Source organism: Homo sapiens, chromosome 2, assembly GCF_000001405.40.
Source record: "Homo sapiens chromosome 2, GRCh38.p14 Primary Assembly".
Classification (NCBI taxonomy): Eukaryota; Metazoa; Chordata; class Mammalia; order Primates; family Hominidae; genus Homo; species Homo sapiens.
The window spans coordinates 135,592,569-135,615,079 of NC_000002.12; the positions used below are offsets into that span (position 1 = coordinate 135,592,569).

At 37.7% G+C, this 22,511-nt stretch overlaps 1 protein-coding gene across 7 annotated transcripts in view; it reads left to right on the plus strand.

Moving 5' to 3' along the window:
• The window catches only part of R3HDM1 (R3H domain containing 1), a 193,786-nt gene that overhangs the window by 61,085 nt on the left and 110,190 nt on the right, over positions 1-22,511 (plus strand). For 6 of the 7 annotated variants that reach the window (NM_001378107.1, NM_001354200.2, NM_015361.4 and 3 more), the window contains exons 2-3: positions 9,932-10,140; positions 12,238-12,448. In NM_001378107.1, the coding sequence (NP_001365036.1) occupies positions 12,278-12,448 (171 nt within the window). In that variant the 5' untranslated portion in view covers positions 9,932-10,140; positions 12,238-12,277. The remainder of the gene's footprint in view (positions 1-9,931; positions 10,141-12,237; positions 12,449-22,511) is intronic. The other variant, NM_001282800.2, reaches the window with a different exon arrangement.

Sequence of the window (22,511 nt, forward strand, 5' to 3'; positions counted from 1 at the left end):
AAAACTATGTTTTCTCTTACATGCCTGTTATCTTAAGCTCTCCTCTCACATCCTTATTATCCATAGCTCAGTTTCCAGGAATCCAAACCTTTTGAATGTTCTTTGCTGTTTATTTCTCAAAGCATGACTAGATGGTAATACCAGTTTGGGTTTTTTTTTTCCTCCATGTAGTTTTTTATTATTTTTTTTTATTTTTATTTTTTAAGAGGCAGGGTCTTGCTGTGTCATCCAGACTGGAATGCAGTGGCGCTATCGTAGTGTACTGCACCCTCAAACTCCTGAGCCCAAGGGATCCTTTCTTGTGGTAGATGGGACTGCGGGCATGTGCCACCATACTCTACCTCCGTGTAGTCTTTTTTTTTTCTTTTTGAGATGGAGTCTCACTTTTTCGCCCAGGCTGGGGTGCAGTGGTGCCATCTCGGCTCACTGCAACCTGTGCCTCCTGGATTGAAGCGATTCTCCTGCCTCAGCCTTCCAAATAGCTGGGATTACAGGCGCCTGCTACCACACCTGGCTAATTTTTGTATTTTTAGTAGAGTTGAGGTTTCACCATGTTGGCCAGGCTAGTCTCGAACTCCTGACCTCAAGTGATCCACCCACCTCAGCCTCCCAAAGTGCTGGGATTACAGGCACGAGCCACCACTCCTAGCCCTGTGTGTAGTCTTTAAAAGAGATTTTACCTCATGCCAATCAGATCATATTACACCCTGAGTTATTTATTTCAGTCCTGCATTTAGCACATACATGGGGAGCTCTCAGTATAACCCTGGACTATGGTAGGTTCAGAATTAAGGCAAAATACATTTTACCCTCACTAGCACTATATTAGGAGGTCATTAACTTCAGGTTTAGAGTTACATTAATGGCCCTGACTTTCTTGCATTGTCTCTTACCTATATCTGCCAATATCTAAACCCCTTTAGAATCTCACCAGGTTATCCCCAGGATTATCCAGGATCTCCTCATGAGCTCAAGAACAGCCGTTTCATGATCTTCCAGTTTTGTCTTTCTCTGGCCCACTGCCCACTACCATTTTGCTAGTGTTTGCCACGAATTAGCTCATGTCCATGCCAAAGGTTGTATCTCTTAGTGTTCCCAACATGTTTAGTCTTCAGGGTACCATATTCTCTAGAATTTTCTTTTTTATTTTATTATTTTATTTATTTTTTTGAGACGGAGTCTGACTCTATCACCCAGGCTGGAGTACACTGGCACAGTCTCGGCTCACTGCAGTCTCCACCTCCCAGGTTCAAGCGATTCTCATGCGTCAGCCTCCCAAGTAGTGGGATTACAGGCGCGCACCACCACACCCAGCTAATTTTTGTATTTTTAGTAGAGATGAGGTTTTGCCATGTTGGCCAGGCTGGTCTCAATCTTCTGACCTCAGGTGATCCGCCCGCCTCAGCCTCCCAAAGTCCTGGGATTACAGGCATGAGCCACTGCGCCTGGCCTTCTCTAGAATTTTCTATGTACCAGCACCATGCCATCCTCAGAGAAGTTAGGCAAGCCATTCACCCGCTTCTGTGGTGGGCTTGGTCACCTGGGCACCAGGAGCTGCTTGTCTCCCACATCTCCCCTGCTTTGGTTCTCCAGTGAAAACACTTCCTTTAGCTTTTGCTTTCATTTAAACTAGGATCACTGCTACATTAAGATATATGTATAGTTCTTTTAGTACTCTAGCATTCCTAATTTCCAGCTTTTTATGTATTGATTTGGCATTTTAAATTACGTTTCTTAAGCTACTATACCATACAGTGATAAAAAGTCAGATCTGGAAATGGCTGTGAAAAAAACATTTAGCCTATTATATAGCCAAGTAGCATCTGAGCTTTCTCATTTGCATCACTCTCACTCATTACAATGCCCTCAGTCAAAGAATTAGAGATACCCCCAGTCTTGTAGTTTACAGACTTCTCCTTAGAAGGACTGTGCCAAAACAGTCCTGAATGTTCGTGTTGGCCTTAATGAACCACCCCTTAGTGACTCAGTCACCATTCTCCACAAGCCCTACAGCCATCCCGGCTCCCTCTCTTCTAGCAAATAGGTTCGGGGTAAAAAAGAAGAAATTTATTAGGTATGAATTCCCTCCTTTTCCTGCCACATTCCCTTCAGTATCTTAGGATAATGTATACATTTCAGGCTTATTCACCAGTTTGTACTTCTGATTACATTTTCTCATTTCATCCACTTTCAGATTTTCCTTCTTATTACCTTTCTTCCCTCCTAAACCTCTAGCCTCTCCCCATCTTTCCTTACTGGCTTCTGTGGCCTACACACTTTTTCATTCTGACAACCTTCCTCTAACTTCGCATCTCCTGGTAACTTTATTACCAAATCATGTATACTCATTGTGATCTTCCACTTTCCTCCTCAATCCTTAAGGGTTCAGTGTTCCCTAGGGATTCTACACCCCCCCCCCTTTTCAATGAAGGCTTGTGGGCAACTTCATTAACATTGATAACTCAAAACTTCAATCTATATAGTGATTCTCCACCAAATAAATAACATTAGCTGACTTCTTTCCTGAGCTCCAAGTCTATATATCCAATTTTCTGTTAGATTTCTCCACCTGAATGTCCTGAAGATACCTTAAAATTAACTGTAGGCAAAACTGAAATCATCGTTCTGCCATCAAATCCATTTTCCTCCCAGATATATTTCCTATATTTAGTGGTAGCAAGCACTACCTGCACCTTCAGTGTGTCCTCTCATAACTCTTCCAGCTCTCACAGCCCTTACCTTTTCCCTGACCACTCATGTATTGAATTGGCTTCCCCCAGTTAGTTACTTGCTATTATATTAATCTATTCATTTCTACATGGAGTACAGGTAGTGGCTGATACCAAGGGCTCTGGAGCCAACACTACCTGAGTTCATATCTTAACTCTACCCCTTACTAGTCTTGCTACTTTGAAAAAGCTGCTTAATCTTCCTCTGCCTCAGCTGCAAACTATGTAATACTGCTTTTATGGGGATTAAATGAATTAATACACTTAAAGCATTGGGAGTAGTGCTTAGTAAATAATAAATAACTCTTTAAGGGTTTGCTGTTAATATTACCAGTTTCACAGCACATATTGCAATCAGTTATTATCTTGTATATTTTGTCTCTGCACTAGAATGTAAGCATTTTAGGTTCTAGGATCCCATCTGCTTGGTTCACTCATGTATCCCTATTACCTAGAACAGTGCTCTGTACATAGTATCCAGTCTGGAGATTGAGTGAATGGAATATCTTTTCTCCTTTTCAGCTTTCACCTTTTGATTCTTTGTCTAAACCCTAGTCACTTTCCATCAAAACTTTCATTTTGTTTGCTAGAACAGGGTTAATCTATATTGTAGCTAAAATCATTCTCCCTGGCTTCTCTTAAAATGTGTTCCTCTATTACTCAAGCTTCCTGTTGCTCCTGGGATCAGTACTAAGTTTCTTCTTTTTCTTTTTCTTTTTGAGAGGGAGTCTCGTTCTGTCGCCCAGGCTGGAGTGCAGTGGTGCGATCTCAGCTCACTGCAACCTCCGCCTCCCAGGCTCCAGCGATTCTCCTGCCTCAGCCTTCTGAGTAGCTGGGATTACAGGTGTGCACCACCACGCCCAGCTAATTTTTGTATTTTAGTAGAGACAGGGTTTCACCATGTTGGCCAGGCTGGTCTCAAACTCCTGACCTCAAGTGATCCACCCACCTCAGCCTCCCAAAGTGCTGGGATTACAGGCATGAGCCACCGCGCCCAGCCTAATACTAAGCTTCTAATCTTAATTTCAAATATATCCACATTTTTTGTTATTCTCATTTATTTTCAGGACATTTTTAATGAAAAATGTCATAAACAAAAAAAGGAGCATTATAACACTCAGTACTGACCACTCAGAATTAACAGTTGCTAACCTTTTTTATATTGGCTGGAGATCTTTTTTTAAAATAAAATAATACAGATGTGATTTGAAGTCCCTTCTCCGTCTTACCCAATCCCTTTCATTTCCCTCTCCAGAGGTAATTACTAACATGAAATAGGTATATACTCTTCCCATCCATGCTTGTGTGGTTTTTAAATTTTTATATACGTTACATTTTATGGTAGAGTTCATTCTGCTTTTTGACTAAACATTCTGACATTCTTCTTTGGACTTATATTTGTACCTATAGTTTTAGTTCATTTCATTTTAATCGTTTCATGGTATCGTGCAACATGAATATGCCACAGTTGTTTTTACTTTAAAAAGAAAAAAACAGTTTTCCTATTAATACAACATTTGGTCTTTCCCATTCTTTGCTTTTAAATAAAACAGTGCAGTGAATATTTTTGTACATGTCCCTTTGTATAAGGCGTTTCCTTAGGGTGTATCTACACCAGAAGTGGAAATGTGGAGTCATAGGATATGTGGGATTTAAAATTCATTTGATAGCACAAATTGTTTTCTAAAGTGGATCACAATGTATGAGAGGCCCATTGTCTTCCCCATTTCTCCACTCAGAATGCAGCACATTCGTGTAACACCTTGCCTCTCCATATAACTTTTTCCCTAAAAGTAATTTGTTTCATATAGTCTTACAAGACTCCACTAATTATTCTCTCTCATTCTTCAACTACCAAAAGTCTTTCCTTCTTGCTTATAATGTCCTCCTAAAATTATTATTTATATTTGTTGGTAAGTGTCATCATTAACCTCTTCATGGTTTAACGAACTCTTTTAGGTCAAGGGAGTTCATTCTCTTTACTCTTTTTAAATGTAACTGATATTCATTAAAGCTATAGTGCCTTCTGTGGTTATTTGGTAAATTTTTGTTAAATGACAGTAACTGTTTACAAATCACATGCACATTTAACATTTTGAAATGTCAGTGCTTATATTCTTGTTCAAGTGACTGACAAAGTGACTGCAAATGTGAATTTCCACTATTTCTAAATAGAGCATAAACAGTGCTCTTCGCCTTTCTTTCTAGAGGCATTTGAACAATTTGGTTGTGCCAATTTATAACCTCAGGGAGAACTTGATATGGGTTGCTTTTGTGCATTTGATTTTCTTTATAGATGTGCCTGCTTGGTTATATTTCTGTCTCTAAGAGAAAAAACATAACATCTTATCTAATGAAACGGGATTGGATAACTAGATAGTGATAAGGAAGCAACAACCCTTTTTTTTGGGCTTTGCCAAATTCTGTTCAGATAACATCAATAATGTAACTCTTTTTCCCCTAAATATTTTTGTGAAGAATATTTTTACCTATAGGAGCGAGATTTCTTTCCCACATATAAATTAACTTAAATGATTTTTAAATATTTTGTTAACCTAGAGTAAATTGACTTTTGTTGTGTGAAATTTGAGTATTTATTGTTGGGGCTACCGAAGTTTCCAGTTCTTTTGTGTTGTGAAACCAAAACTTAGACCCCAAGTATAATAAGTGATATTTTGAATTGTCAGTGTCAGTATTGCATTTTTGTTGTTAATACTTCTAACTAAAATTTTCACTAGAGAAACTACTTGTCTTTAGACTTCATATATACTAGTTTGCCTTTGAAAGTGTTGATCCTAATTCTGCCTTGCTTTGTTTCATAGAGGAAGGTACTTAACCATGCATATTTATCATTTGTAAGCTACTGCCTTCTCATTGTTCCTTAGCCACAAACTCTGAATCCTTATTGCCACCCAAGTTTGCATAGTTGGTACTCATCATCACAGGCGATAGGAGGATTGAGAGAAAGAAACAAAATGGTTATATAATTCCTGGCAGTTCTGATAGTTTGGTAGTGATTACTCCTGGTGACCATTAATACAAAGTTAATAGTACTATCTTCTTGTACACACACAAAAAATACATAGCTCCTCTTCATGTGAAAAGAATAAGTTTACTTTGTCTTAAGTCCAGTACAAAGGAGTTACCATGTCATAATTACTCTTGAAATGAAAGTGCTCCGTAAACACAAATTGCCCCTCTTCTTGGTACCTACAGATGATGATACAGTATTGCGGGTAAGAGCCTGAAATGGAGCACTAGTCTGTCCAGTTCAAATCCTGTTTTCCATACTTACTGGCTGTGTGATGTTGGACAAATTACTTGATTTTTCTATCTGCCTTAGTTTCCTAATCTGTTGTAGGACAGAGTGATAATAGGACATACTTCTTAGAACTGTTGTGTGAGTTTTAAATGAATTCATTATGAAAAATATTACCACAGGGCCAGGCACATGGTAAATATATGTATTAGTATTTGGTTTTGATGGTAGTTGTTTGTATTCTTTTTTAGCTTACCTGTTCCTGTCATTCCCCCATCCTTTTCTTTCCTTTGATTTATAAGACCTTCTTTGCTTTCAACATTTTGACCCTTTCATGTTGGAAATAGTTCATATGTATCATCTGCCTTTTGTTTATGTTCTATTTTATTATACAGGAATTTTAAAACTTTGTTCTAAGTTTTATAACTATTTACCTTTAATGGCTTCTAGATTTTGGTGTCACACTTGGGAAGGACTTTCCCACCCAAAAATTATAAAAAGATTTCCTATATATCCTTGTGCATTCATAGTTTTACTTTTTTAAGGTTATGACCTTTAATTTTACCTGTAATTTCCTTTCATTTATGGTTTCAGGTAAGTGCCATCCTTTTTGTGCATATGTAAACATACATGTGGCGTTTCTCTGGTTATCTACCTGGTAGCACAGGAATTATATATAAGCACATCTCTGACTTGTCCCTAATAAATAGCATGTTGACAATTAGAATTTTTTTTTTGAAGTTGAATATGAATTTTGAGCTCATATATCCATCTCTCTTAGGTTGACAAAGATTCTGAAAAATTCAGTTTTTAAATTTCAGTAATAGTAGGAACTGAGATATATACTTGAATGTCTATATTTTGTTCATTTTTTTCTCTAAGTTGTCTTCCTAAATTTTGTAAGTTCCTAAGTATCTTTCACTTACTGTACAACTATTTATTATATTAAGACAGTACATTTAATGGACTTCTAAATGTTGTGTTAGAGACATGATGTGCCATGTCTATCTTGTAGCTTTCTATACTTGACACCCACGTGCCCACACAACCTTTGGCAAACTGAGAAGTGTAGGCTTCATGGGTTTACCAAAAAGGGGTTTGTTTTTGTTTTTCCAGTGAGTACCAAAAGCTGAAACATCCCTTTTACTTGAAGATTTGGAGAGGGAAAACATTTTTATATCAAACAAGTTCATTAGCTGGGCAAAGTGGCTCACACCTGTAATCCCGGCACTTTGGGAGGTTGGGACGGGGGATTACTTGAGCGCAGGAATTTGAGACCAGCCTGTGCAAAATAGCAAGACCCCGTCTCTACAAAAACAATTTAAAAATTAGCTGGGCATAGTGGTGGGCACCTATAGTCGCAGTTACTCAGGAGGCCGGAGTGGAAGGATAGCTTGAGCCTCAAAGGTCAAGGCTGCAGTGAGTCAGGATTGTGCCACTGAACTCCAACCTGGGTTACAGAGTGAGACCTTGTCTCTAAAAAAAAAAAAAATTAAAAATTAAACTAGTGCATTAATATTTTGGAGAAGAATACAAAGTTCGTATGATTTTTTTTTTTTTTTTTTTTTTTTTGTAGAGATAGGGTTTGCTATGTTGCCTAGGCTTGTCTTGAACTCCTGGTCTCAGTGATCCTTCTGCCTCCACCTCCCAAAGTCCTGAGATTACAGGCCTGAGCCACTATACCCAACAGTTTGTATGAATTTTTAATATTCAATTAGAAGCCTTCAAATGAGAGCCATACACAAAAATGCTAAGCCGCTTGTACACAGTGTTAGGCCTCCTGTCAGTCTACTGCTGTGTAGTGGTAGGGGTCAGGACACAGCAAATTTAGGCTCAGCCAACTGCTGATCTAAAGGGATTCTGACCAGAGAAGACAGCTAACATTTTTGGAGGGCCTGCCCTGGGAGAGAGGCTGTGGTCCGTGCTCTACATTTAAATCAGTCAGTCCTCACAACAAACCTAGAAGCTAGATATTCTTTTTTCCACTTTGCAGATCAGAAAACTGCAGCTCAGAGAGATTAAGTTATTTACCGAAAATATAACTGGCAGAGCTGGGATTTAAATTATCGTCTAATGCTAGTGCACTTCCCTTTCTATTGCCATTTCTATATGCCATTGACTCCTTCCCAGGCAATAACTGGTCATTTTCATTCTGAATCATTCATTATTTAGTCTGTTATCAAATGGTGTGGCATATTACCAAGTTTTGGTCACACATACTGGTTGTGTGACTTTGAAGAAGTCATTTGACTTCTAGGCAATAATAACTTGAATGCTGAATTACAATATTGGACTAGGTGGTCTCTCAGGTTCTTTGGGGTTTCATGGAACCTTGGGATCCTAAGAGGATCTTCTAAGGTGTTCACCTCTTCGGTTTTGCCCCTTCCTCACTCTCCCCTGCAGCTATTGCCTTATCTAGTACCTTATTTATTTCTTAAATGGATTAAAAACCTTGCTTTTATGGAATTACAAAATTAAGAGATTCATGATAAAATTGTAAAGTCACTTTACAAAGAACACAAATAATTTGGTTGCTTAGAGAATGCTGCCATCTTGTGTCTACCATTTTATGAGATAAAAAGCTAAAATGGAGAAAAAATACTTGAAGGATTTTTGTTTTGTTTTGTTTTTGGTGGAACTTAATCATTTGATGTAGTGGCTGGAGAATCTTGGTCAGATTGAGATGACACGGTATCAATTAAAAGTTTTTTGATATTTGTTTTTGATACCCCCTTTTCTATTATCCTTGTGTCAAACATTGTGAAATCAAAATGTGAAAAGTAATGTAAGGATATATCGGGTTCCAAGTGATTGTATTTCAAAATGGTTTTTGAAGAGTTAGTATAAAATGTGAGTTACTCTATAATGCATGCTTGGCTGTCTTGGTATTAGGTCTCTTGGTGCTTAGATCTCATTATATGCATATATGTATGCTTAGCTATTTCACCTTAAAATGTACTATTCTGTTTATTGACAGCAAAATTGTCAAAGGACAATGGAAGAGGTAAATAATCTTTTTAGAGTTGTTTACTTGCTAGGCTATATTCATTCATACCGAATAAATATAAAATAAAACCGACTTCAAAAATATAACATGGAGAAAATTTTGTATTTGGGGATTTTTGTTTTGTTTTGTTTTGTTTTTGCTCTGCCATCCAGACTGGAGTGCAGTAGCATGATCATAGCTAACTGTAACCCCCAACTAAAGCTATTCTCCCACCTCAACCTCGCAAGTAACTAGGACTGCAGGTGCACACCCCTACACCCAGCTAATTTTTTAATTTTTGTAGAGATGGGGTCTCACTGTGTTGCCCATGCTAGTCTTGAGCCCCTGGCCTCAAGTGATCCTCCTGCCTTGGCTTCCCAAAGTGCTGGGATTATAGGCACAAGCCACTGCACCCAGCCAACTTTTTTTTTTTTTTTTTTTTTTAGAACAGACAATGTGGGTTTCATTAAAAATGTTAAATGGCTTGTTATTTTTGTTTTATTTTTTCTTTTGTATTTTTAAAAATCTAGAATGTTATTACGGTTCAAAATTACAGTCTTAAGTCCATAGAGTTACACAGCTCTAGAAGAGAACTCTAAAAATGATGGTTCTTGGAGTTAAAGTGTTTCTGATTATGATCTTTTTTCTCTCTCTTTATCTATAGATACTATCTCAATTATAACCCTGACTGCATTGTAGCTTCTCAGTACATATCATTTTCTTTCCTCTTCTCTCTTCTGCTTTTAACTAATCAATCCTCTCGGCCTCAGTGACTTATTCAGGTTCACAAAGCTAATATATGTTAGAATTCATTGTTACTCAGTGTTCTGACTTTCGTTTAGGAAAATAATGTAATAAAACAACTGACAGTAATATTTTTAATTTCTCAGTTTCATGTGGAGTGTTCCATTTCCCTTGGCCATTTTGTTAAAATGGTTTCTTTTGTTTTCATTTTAGGCCACGGAAAGGTATGATATATTTGATCCAAGACAGTCCATTCCAGTCCGGGAATCTACAGTGGTGACAAGGACATGGGACTCCTCCTGCCAGATTACAGATGGTTCACTACAGTTGACATCCTGGCTGACAACTGTGAAAAAGAACCTTGGATTATTTTATTTTATTTTTGTGGGACACCACAATCCCAAATCCAAAGGACGCATCAGGTAATGCTTCCCTGTCATTCAGAAAAACATATTTTTCTTACAAAATCTCACCTATAAAAAGCAAGAAGCCAGTGTCTTAAGTAACTTCACCACCCTCTCCCTACTTTGCAGCTGTTTGTTTTCGGAATGAACCAATTAACTTTTGTATGGGTTATAATTAAGGAAGACATGGTTTTCTTTTTTTAATTCAGTTCAGTCTGTCTGTGACTTTAAGACCTACTTCTCTTTGGCTTTTTTAACTTTTGAGCTGTATTTATCAATTCCTAAAATCCATTTATTTATGTATTTATTGAGATGGAGTCTCACTCTGTCACCCAGACTGGAGTGCAGTGGCGCGATCTTGGCTCACTGCAACCTCCGCCTCCCAGGTCCAAGCAATTCTCCTGCCTCAGCCTCCCAAGTAGCTGGGACTACAGGCTTGCAGGCACGTGCTACCATGCCCAGCTAATTTTTGTATTTTTAATAGAGATGGGGTTTCGCCATGTTGGCCAAGCTGGTCTCAAACTCTTGGCCTCAAGTGATACACCTGCCTCAGCCTCCTAATGCACTGGGATTACAGGTGTAAACCACTGCACCTGGCCCTAAAATCCATTTAGATTGCAAAACATTCTTTCAGGAAATGAACTTTTGAATTTTTCAAATTGATATAGAGAAAATAAGTTTCACTGGTTTCCCCCCCGCCACAAGATTTTATTACGAAAATTTTCAGAAATATAGAAAAGTTGAAAGAATTTTACAGTGAACATCCCTATAACCACCCCTTGATTTCACCAGTAACATTTTAGCATACTTGCTATAACCTATATCTGTCTATCCCTCTATATATCAATCTGTTCATTTTTTTTAAAGATGCATTTCAGAATAAGTTGTTTATATAAAGTTCTGCCATTATTGGGTTTTTTTGTTTGTTTTGTTTTGTGACAGAGCCTCACTCTGTCACCCAAGGTGGAGTCTAGTGGCGTGATCACAGCTCACTGGAACACACGCCTTTTGGCTTCAAGCAATTCTTGTGCCTCAGCCTCTTGAGTAGCTGTATTATAGGCATGCACCACCATGCCTGGCTAATTTTTGTATTTTTAGTAGAGTCTGGGTTTTGTCACGTTGCCCAGGCTTGTTTTGAACTCCTGAGCTCAAGCAATCCGCCCACCTTGGCCTCCCAAAGTGCTGGGATTACAGTCGTGACCCACCGCAGCCGGCCAAGTTCTGCTGTTTTTATTACATTTTTTGCAGCTTAAAATGAGTGCTATCTTTAGCTTAATCTCTGATACATTAATCCAGTGCAAAACCAGTGATTTTCTTAAACTCACTAATGACATGAAAATATATTGGAATCTTATGTATTTGATTTCCTGTGGATTCCATATTCTAGAGTGCCTGGATAATGTGTTGTTTGGCATTGAATCACTTAATTCAGGAGAGTTTTCAATGCTTTCTTCATATTGCTGAACATATTTGTTAATCCAGATTTACAAGTGTATTTTGTAATAGAATGTTACTGTTTATTTTTAAATTATTTCCTTTTGGAAATATTTCAGGGTAATTTAAGAAATTTGGAATTTTAGGAATCCAGATGAAAAAGCTATTATAGGTATCCCTTTGGAGAAAAAGATTTCTAATGTCTTCTAAATACACATATATTATTCTCCAGCCATTACCTTCTACCTTGATCTGGCTCGGTCCTTAATGTTTCTTAAGAATTGCCACAAGTATATGTGCATCAAAATCACTCCATATTCTTTTTTTAAATGTAAAAAAAACACACTTATGTGTTAGCAATAGGGTCTTGCTATGTTGCCCTGGTTGGCCTCTGCCTCCTGGACTCAAGCAGTCATCCTGCCTGACTCCCAAGTAGCTGGGACTACAGCTGGGTACCACTGTGCCTGGCTCACATACTTTCTATAGCTCTTTTCTCACTGTATTGTGATCTTTTTTTTAATTTGGATGTATCTAGCACAAAATTATATACTCCTTGAAATCAAGAATTTTGTTCCTGTCTATATTCAACATTATTTCTGGAACATAACAGACAGTAGGTCAGTATCATGCAGTAACTGAATGTAAAAAAGTTTCAAACTGTATTAATTTTTTTTTCTTAAGGCTTCAAGCTCCCTGTAGAATTCGAAAATAACCTTTTCTAATGAGGATGTCTGATACTGTTACTGTAAAAGATGAAACTGCAACAATGAAGGATTTGGAGGCAGAAGTGAAAGATACAACCAGAGTTGAAAATCTTATCAAATCAGAAAACTATGGGAAGATTTTGGTAGAGAAGAATGAACATTGTATTGAGAACAATATAGATTTGCAGGTAAACAGGAATTTTTCTCTGGCTACAAATACTAAATATTCAGTATATATTTATGTTTATTTTCATACAAAACTCACTTCTCAAAATTCTAAAAGGGTAAGTTGACCCTTCGTGACATGCTTACTAGCTGGTTTTGGAGCCAGTTGGATTAGCTTGCTGTGAGTCTTAACTTGGCTTGTATCATGTAATATACTTCTTTTTATTTGTATGTGGCTAGTGCATTTTTATTGGCTTTCTACTTTCTCATTCCACCCTTTTCCTAATTACCAGTGCTGTGAGAGTTTTGAACTCTCACAGTTAAATTTTGAGTTTAACCTAAGAGCTCTTAAAGGAAAGACAAATAGAATACAATAAAACTGCAGACGAACTATTGGCAAAAACAGCCCTCAGGGGGTTCCTCAGTCACTCAACCTGACTGACAAAAAAGATTTGTGGGCCCGGGGGAAGTTAATGCTTTTAATGCTGTGCATATATAATGACTTAGAGCTAGCCACTGAGAAGGCTTCTAATTCCAGGCATAAATGGAAATTGAGTTGATTAACAAATTGAAGATAGGTAAAAATGGTCCCAAGTAATAGCATTTCTAGTACTATTCATTTCTTTGGTAAGGTTTTCCAGTTATCTATTTTCTCAGAATGAAGGGCTAACACTTTTAAACAATTTATTTTATTTTATTTTATTTTTTTGAGATGGAGTCTCTCTCTGTCGCCCAGGCTGGAGTGCAGTGGTGTGATCTCGGCTCACTGCAGCCTCCCTCTCCTGGGTTCAAGCAATTCTCCTGCCTCAGCCTCCCGAGTAGCTAGGACTACAGGCATGCACCCCCACACCCGGCTAATTTTTCTATTTTAGTAGAGATGGAGTTTCACTGTGTTGCCTAGGCTGTTCTAGAACTCCTGAGCTCCGGCGATCCGCCCACCTCGGCTTCCCATAATGCTAGGATTACAGGCGCAAGCCATCGCACCTGGCCCACAATTTTTTTTTTAATATCTCATCATTTATCAGTCAGGAAACGAAGCAAGGCTTGGGCTGAGTGAATTTTCTATTCTACAGGGTATCCAAAGAGGTCCTTTGTTGGCATTTAACAGGCCGGTGGACTTGGTCTGGAGCATCCCGGATTGCTTCTCGCACCTGTCTGGCACCTAGGTAGGCAAGGCTGCAGTGCTGGGCTCAGGTAGAACTAGAAGCACCTATTTATGGCTCCTCCAACAAGGTGGGTCCAAAGTAGTCAGACTTCTTATGTGGCAGCTCAGGGGTCCCAGAGAGAATGTTCCAAGAAAGCCAAGCAAAGCTGCAAGGTTTCTTTTGACATAGGCCCAGAAGTTCCAGAACGTTACTTCAGCTATCTTCTTTTGATGACATAAGTCAATAAAGCCAGGCCAGAGGATGGGGAATTAGACCCTACCTCTCAGTAGGAAAGAATTTGTAGCCACCTTTAAGCTACCACAAAAAGTTATTCAAAAAAAAATTGTTTAGGCCGGGAGCGATGGCTGTAATCCCAGCACTTTGGGAGACCGAGGTGAGTGGATCACAAGGTCAGGAGATCGAGACCATCCTGACCAACATGGTGAAACCCTGTCTCTAGTAAAAATACAAAAAATTAGCCAGGCATGGTTGCGCGCACCTATAGTCCCAGCTATCCTGAGGCAGGGGAATCACTCGAACCCGGGAGGCAGAGGTTACAGTGAGCCAAGATCGCACCACTGCACTCCAGCCTAGTGACAGAGCAAGACTCCATCTCAAAAAAAAAAAAAAAAAAGAATTAAAAAAAAAAGTTTAACAATGTTTTAATTTTTGCTTTGCAATTAAAGAATTCTATTTTTGGAGAAAATATTCTATCATTCTATATGCTAAAGACTTTGAAGGCTATAAGCCAAAAAGTATAGCTTCATTTTTTTTTTCTTTTGTGTTTTCTTTTTTAGCTTCACTTTTTTAAAGTAAAGAAACCTGGTTTTTTTGGGTGGGGGGGCGGGGTTTTTTTGTTTTTTGTTTTTAAGACAGAGTCTCGCTCTGTCACCAGGCTGGAGTGTAGTGGCGCAACCTTGGCTTACTGCAGCCTCCACCTCCCGGGTTCAAGCAATTCTCCTGCCTCAGCCTCCCAAGTAGCTGGGACTACAGGCGTGCGCCACCATGCTCAGCTAATTTTTGTATTTTTTGTAGAAACAGGGTTTCACCATGTTGGCCAGGATGGTCTCGATCTCTTGACCTCATGATCCACCTGCCTCAGCCTCCCAAACTGCTGAGATTACAGGCGTGAGCCACCGCTGCTGGCCAAGAAACCTGTTTTTAAAGGTTTTCTCATTCTTTTGTTCAGTCAAAAACTGTCTTTTTTTCCTATTATGTACCAGACACCAGGTTAGACAATGATAGCAATTCCTCCAGCTATAAAAAAAGCATTTAGGCCCCACTTATAGTCAAGTGGTAATCATCTAAGAAATTGGGAGAAATAACATTTTTTTCCCAGTCATTTTTACTAATAGCACTTTCTAGAACAACAAAAAATTGCCATACCTGTAATCAGTACACTCAGTGATGACAGCATGCCAGTGTCCTGATTGCATCAGAGAAAATCTGCTAAAATTCTAGTGCATTTGTGATTGAAATAATAAAATACTTCATTTTAGCCTCTTTTCTACACCTAATATTTCTTTTCCTAGATCATGCTTATCAACAAGTCATTAATTTGGGTTATTGCATTTCCTACCATGTCTATTGTGTTGCCCTTGGCAGTAAGCCACAAGAACATTCTGATGACCACTTTTGCATCATGGCCCAGTTGTTTGTAGTATAAGAAAATTTCCCACATTACCCAAACCATTTATTGAAAAATCTCTTCTTTACCAAGGGAATACCATAGTAAACAAACATGGGTATGGTCTTTGACCTCTTGTTTCCTATAGCATAGCGACTGTAACGATTTGGAAGGAGGGAAAAAGAGAATGTGAGAATTTATTTTATGTTAATCTGGTGAATGCCATATTCATTGTTTATTGAAGTATTTATTAATAATTTACTATATGGGCCGGGCGCAGTGGCTCACATCTGTAATCCCAGCACTTTGGGAGGCCAAGGTGGGCGGGTCACAAGGTCAGGAGTTCGAGACCAGCCTGACCAACATGGTGAAACCCTGTCACTACTAAAAATACAAAAAAATTAGCTGGGCATGGTGGCGCACGCCTGTAATCCCAGCTACTTGGGAGGCTGAGACAGGAGAATCACTTGAACCCAGGAGGCGGAGGTTGCAGTGAACCGAGATCACGCCACTGCACCCCAGCCTAGGTGACACAGCGAGACTCCATCTCAAAATAATAATAATAATAATAATAATAATTTACTATATGTAAGAATATTGACCCTGCTTTGAGCTTTTGAGGCCCAAAATGCTTTCATCCAAGGTGCCTGGCAAGGGGTGTACAGTTGAGATACCTTGTATAGAACAGATTTAATTAATGGAAATTGGGAATTGGAAGTAGATAAAACTGGAAAATTGGTTTCTTCTGTGTTTTCATTTAAAATATTGTAAAACAAAGTTAACTGTTTTAAGCATCAACAGGGAATAAGTGTTTTGTTTTAAAAAGTCTGGTTAATACAGAGTTACTTTTAACTTAATGTGGAGTTAACTATTCTAACATACTACCAGATATTTCATCTTCCTTTGGTACCTCTAAGGTACTGCCTAAAGGTTGTCATCTTAAATAGCAACTGCTGTTTTTCACTCATAAGTTTGGATGTATGTAGCAAATAATGTAGGTTTTCTATTGAGATTTTTGGATAAACTATTATTTTTTCTAATAGAGTGATAAGATATTCTCTACTTTGCTCTCATTCTGAAAATCAGCTACCATGAATATTATAACTTACATCTGTTATCTTGCTTCAGCATAGTAATATTTAAAGTGATTAAAGGAAACAAATGTTTACCTTCCAAAAGATGCATTCATTTTATTCATTTATATAAAAAAACTGCACGTTTAATATATACATTTTGAGTGAAGTCATTGTTAATTAAGGGATGTTACAGCCCCTTTTGTACTATGAAGAGACTTTATGATTTTCTTTCTGTTAAGGGTAGTATTTACATAAAAAATAATTTCATCAAACCAGAGAGAGGCCAACAGACATTACATGTCATCTCAGGTGGTTCCAAGCAGAGATTATCTCAGAGAGCTCTTTGACCATTTAATTTATAAATAATTCTACTTGTGTTTTCTTTCTACTTTCACTAGTTTTCTCTTTCCACTTTTAAAAAATGTTGTGTTTCTTATTCAGGGTTTTGTTTTGGACTGTAATATTTTATAGAAATTTTAGGATTACTTTCATAAAAATTTCTTAATACTTCAGAGCTAATTCAAGAAACCTGTGTGCATTAACGTCAGGAAGTTAACTGTCCCACATAATTGCCTTGGAGTTGTTCTGAATTGTTGATTATGGTCTCAAATAATTATCTGACAGGTTTTTGGTTAGGAATTTTTCTGCTGCCACACACTGTTCCTGTTGAGAATGTAGAGGTACATTTCGGACTTTATATTTTTATGAAACATTTGGAAGGTTGGGGTGGTGGATGCCAGGTTTCTAAATCCAGAAAAATGTATTTTGTTAGACTATGAGTATCCCTAATCTTTAACATGGGTTAATTGGATGGTGGGGAGTATTTGCTTTGATTTCCTGTGTATAACTCACCGATGGGTTTCCATTGTTTGATTTTCTTCGCGGATAGGTTTTTCAGATTACAATTAGTCTAAATTAGCCTGGTGCGGTGGCACATGACTGTAATCCCAGCACTTTGAGGAAGGCTAAGGCAAGCGGATCGCTTGAGCTCGAATTCAAGACCAGCCTGGGCAACATGGCGAAACCCTGTCTCTACCAAAAAAAATAAAAAAATTAGCTGGATGTGGTGGCATGCACTTGTAGTCCCAGCTACTCAAGAGGCTGAGGTGGGAGAATTGCTTGAGCCAGGGAGATCGAGGTTGCAGTGAGCTGAAACCGTGCCACTCTACTCCAGCCTGGGTGACAGAGTGAGACCCTGTCTTAAAAAAAAAAAATTTAAAAAACTTAGAGTAAATTATTTGTGTTGATTTTTACAGTCATTTATTTTAAATATAAAATTCAGAACTCTGTGCTCTGCTTATTAAAGGTTCAAACTCAACTTTCCCATTCTTTTACAGTTGTATCTTTGTACTTAACAAATAGTTTGTCCAGGGATGTTCATCTGTATACATGTGTATATGCACACAATTCAAAACATATCTGGGAACAGTTCAAACAATGCCTCTCCCTCACATTATTATTAACAATAGGATAGGGAGTCCACATTGTGTTGGTAACCCTTGTCATGGAGAAAATAAGAGAGCTGATTTCTGTTAAAAACTAGGCCTTGTGTGCCAGAGTCAATGAATAGCTCTGACATACGTGAGTCAATTTTCCATACACAGAGTTGGCTAAAGTACATGTTTTGTATATTCTGTTTCAGTAGTAAGCCCTTCGATAATCAAGATGAGACTCTTATGTCTTGTATCCCTCAAGTTAATTCCAGTGCATTTCTTTAAAAGAGGTTTGGGCAAGAAAGCAATGAATCTAATAAGGCTATCAGAAAAGTTCAGAACACAATGCCACGCTTCTTCGACAATGAAGGCAGTACATAACAAATTCCCTCATTTGCTTGGAAAGTATTGATGAAACAATTAACTTATTTCATTAATCTGTTAAGAAATGAAGTATTTTTTTAAAGGACTGAATAAAAGTCTCTTTATATAAAATCATTCAAATAATAATCTTAGCTATTTCCTGTTTGTCAAACAAAGATTAAAAGCATGTATGTGGCAAAGCGTGGTGGCTCCTGCCAGCACTTTGGGATGCCGAGGCAGGAGGTTTACCTGAGCCCAGGACTTTGAGACCAGCCTGGACAACACACGAAGACTTTGTCTCTACAAAAATAAAAATAAAAAAATTATTCATGCGTCACGGTACATACCTGTAGTCACAGTTGTTTGGGAGGCTGAGGTGGGAGGATGACTTGAGAGTTCAAGGCTGCAGTGAGTTAGGATTGCACCAGTGCACTCCAGCCTGGGCAACAGAGTAAGACCTGTCCCTTAAAAAAAAATAAAATTTAAAAAAAAAAAAAAGGATGGCTGCGCACGGTGGTTCACGCCTGTAATCCCAGCACGTTGGGAGGCCGAGGCAAGCAGAATGCTTGAGTCCAGGAGTGTGAGACCAGTTGGGGCAACATGGCAAATCCCCATCTCTACAAAAAAACACAAACAATTAGGCATGGCGGCTACTCTGGAGGCTGAGGTGGGAGGATCATCTGAGCCCAGGAGGTCAAGGCTATAGTGAGCTGTGATTGCACCACTGGACTCCAGCCTGAGTGACAGAGTCAGACCCTGTCTCAGAGAAAAAAAGATATATGTAATGTACCTAGTACATAGAGCCTAGCAAATGGTAGGTGCTATTAACAATGTTATAATTGTTACTATTAGCAATAACACGATTCTATGGCTTCTCAAAAATTTGTGGCTTTATTGTCATGCAAGATTTTTTCTTTAGTAATAAAACAGAGTAAAACTTAATTTTAACATAACCTCCCCACATTTTCAGTACAGTAGTTTTAATTCTATTAAGTTCTGTATCTGTATGCTGTATTTTTATTGTTTTTTATTAATATTGAATGAGTTCAACTTTTTAAAACTTATGATACATTTTCCATAGTATATTTTTATAATTATTTCTAGGATTTGGTACTCTTTCTACTGAACTTGGGTCATATGCACATATGGTAGTTCTTTTAAGCACATTTACTTTTCACGGTGCTTTCTTGTGCTGCGTAAAGATGTTGGCTACATCTTGTAGATGTAGAAATGCTTTTGCATACTTACCGTTTGTACTTCTTTGGATAATTTTCATGTACATCACCAGTGGGATGGGATGATCCTGTATCTTCATTTATTATAAGGAATAACTATAAACCAGATAGTTTGTGACTTTCTCCACATACTTTTCGTTAGAATCTAAGAGTTAGGCCTTTGAGTATTTAACTCTGTGCTTTATGGCTCGAAAGATTAAATGTTAAAAACAAATTAGTGATTGTGTTTAGTTTATTGATTTTTAAAATAGCTCTCCCACCTCAGAGAACTTTGTATTTTTCATTTATTCCAGTAGAAATTAGCATCCTGGCATCCATTATTTTTACTGCCCTGACCTTAACTAGACATGGAACATTTTAATTCATTATCTTCCTTACAATTGCCACTAATCTTTACTATTACCTAGAAAAGTACTGAGAATTCGTAACCTCTTCAAGGTGTTTTGAGTCTGGTTGAAAGGGTGTAACCATTATAATTTTTCTTCATAACAATTATTAATTACAAAGAGAAAATTATTCCTATTTTTTAAATGTCAGATTTTCTTAGTTGAGTGATATTTAATTGGTTATTTTTGTGCTAATACATATATAACTCATAAGGATTGCTCTGTTTTTTTCAGTTCTCCAAATTCTAGTAGCTGGTAACTCTGACAACGTATTAGTATCAATTTCAAACTGAAATTCTATTAAGGATGTTTCATATTCTGCACCCATTTTTTCGCCTAGTTCCTGTCTTATACTTCAGTATAAAACAATGTAAATTATAAATTGGGGACTTTGTCCCTAAGCCTTCTAAATTCTAATATAAATAGCATTTCTCTGGACTAATACAGGTCTATTAAACAAGCTGCTAAATTTTTGCTGTGACAGTGAAATTCTGCTAAGGGTGAAAAGTGTGCTCTAAATAATAAAATCCACTTTTAAAATAATTACATATCAAATAGAGGGAATTGCTACTTAAAGCCAAATCTGGCTGCCAAGTAGATTACAAAAATATGAAATAAAATGTTTACTTTAATAAACAACTTGTTTTCTCTGCTTTGTTATGTATGTATGGCATATTTTCTAGTACATATAATTTCTATTTGCTGTTTGAAAGGAAATCGAAATAAATTATGTTATTGAACAATGCCACTTTAGCAATTTATGGTTTACTTATATAGTAGTGTATTAGTTTTCTATTGCTGCATAAAAATTACCACAAACATAGAGGCTTAAAAGACAACACCCATTATCAGCTCACAGTGGGCCCAACTGTGTTGTCCGCTTAGGGTTCTATGAGGCCAAAGTCAGCCAGGCTGGGCCCTTTTCTGAACGCTTTGGGAAAGAATTTGCTTCAAGGCTTATTCCAGTTGTTGACAAACCTTAGTTTGTTGAAGCTGTAGGTCTGAGGTCCTGTTTTTTGGCTGGTTGTCAGTAAAGGCCACTCTGTTCTGAGAGGCTGCTCATAGTCCTCCTTACATGGCCCCTCTATCTTCAAAGCCATCAACGATATGTCGAGTCCTTCTCACGCTTTAAATCTCTCTGACTTGCCCCCGTGCTCCCACCAGAGAAATGTTTGAGCTTTTATAGGGCTCACTTGATTGAATCAGACTCACCTGAATCTTAAATTGTATCTTAAGGTCACTTGGCTTGGAGCTTAGTTAACAAATGCATAAATCCAGCAGGGTATGGTAGTTCACACCTGTAATTCCAGCACTTTAGGAGGCCAAGGCGGACTGCTCAGTTGAGGTCAGGAGGTTGAGACCATCCTGGCCACCCAGTGAAACCCTGTCTCTACTAAAAATACAAAAATTAGCTGGGCATGGTGGCAAACGCCTGTAATCCCAGCTACTTGGGAGGCTGAGGCAGGAGAATTACTTGAACCTGGGAGGCGGAAGTTGCAGTGATCCAATATCACGCCACTGCACTCCAGCCTGGGCGACAGAGTGAGACTCAGTCTCAAAAAACAAAAAAGCAAAATCCTTTCTTAGCAGTACCTTGATTTGTGTTTGATTAAATAACCAGTGGATGGGAATCTTGGGTGCCATCTTTAGAATTCTGTCTACCTCAGGTAGAATTTAATCCACAATAAAGTTTTTTAAAATATATTAATTGCACTGGACTAAGATTCTGAAGATATGGGGTTCTGTTTGACTTTAGTAACTAATTCTGGACTGTGAGGTCTTTAAGACCAGGAACTATGTCTTATTCATCTTCATAGCTCTAGTGCCTAGCACAGTACCTGGTGTACAGCAGGAACCTAAAACATGTTTGTTAAATGAAGTCAAATTAAGATAATTTTACTTCTCTGTATCTTCCTTTATCTTTTCCTCATTTTCATCAAAGCCTCCTCGTAGATTAAAAGTGAGATAAATACATGTGTAAGTCTATGAATATTCTCAAGCATTACGATAGGAACAATATACAGCACCCCCATTTTATAGACTTTTTTTTAAATTAGCATTTGTTAGATTAAGTAATTTTTCTTAATCTCATTGCTAATAAGCAGAGGCAGCACATTGGTTTTCTGACATGGTCAGTTCCTAACCTTTAATAATCGATTACATTTATGACACACTTTAGAGTTTTCAAAGCCCCTTTGTTAGCTACGCTTTCACTGAATCCTTTCAAGAATCCTGTGAATTAGTGCAAGTAGTATGAACTTTTAGACAGATAAAAGTAAACTGAAGTAATTTGACCATGGTTACCCACTAATAAGAAGCAAATTCAAAAATTTAAGTCCAGCTTTTCTGCATATGAATACAGGATTTACATTGACAGTTAATGACCCCTTTCCTTTTAGAATTTTTAATAGAAGATTTTATACCAGTGATACTTAAAATTACAAGAGATTAAAGCAGAGGACTGGGAGTAAGTCACAAATTATTTTCCCTTCTGCTTCTTCAGAACTCATTTAGGTATGTGCATTTTCATAGTATTCACCTGTTGCTTTTCTCTCTCTTTTTTTTTTCCTGTAATCCCTAGATGGTGGCATCTACCACCTAGACTAGATGGTAGTACAATTTATTTTACTTTTATTGTTAGATGTGAGTTACAGTTAATTAGAAATCCTCTTGAACAAGTTAGAGAGTAGGTAAAAACAGAAGACAATACCAACATGCAGAAGACCTCTTAGGTGGCACTGCCATATTCATGTGTGCGCACACATGCTATTTTCTTCTGTATAAGAAACAAAGTCATTTTTCTTTTATTTTTTCTATTTTC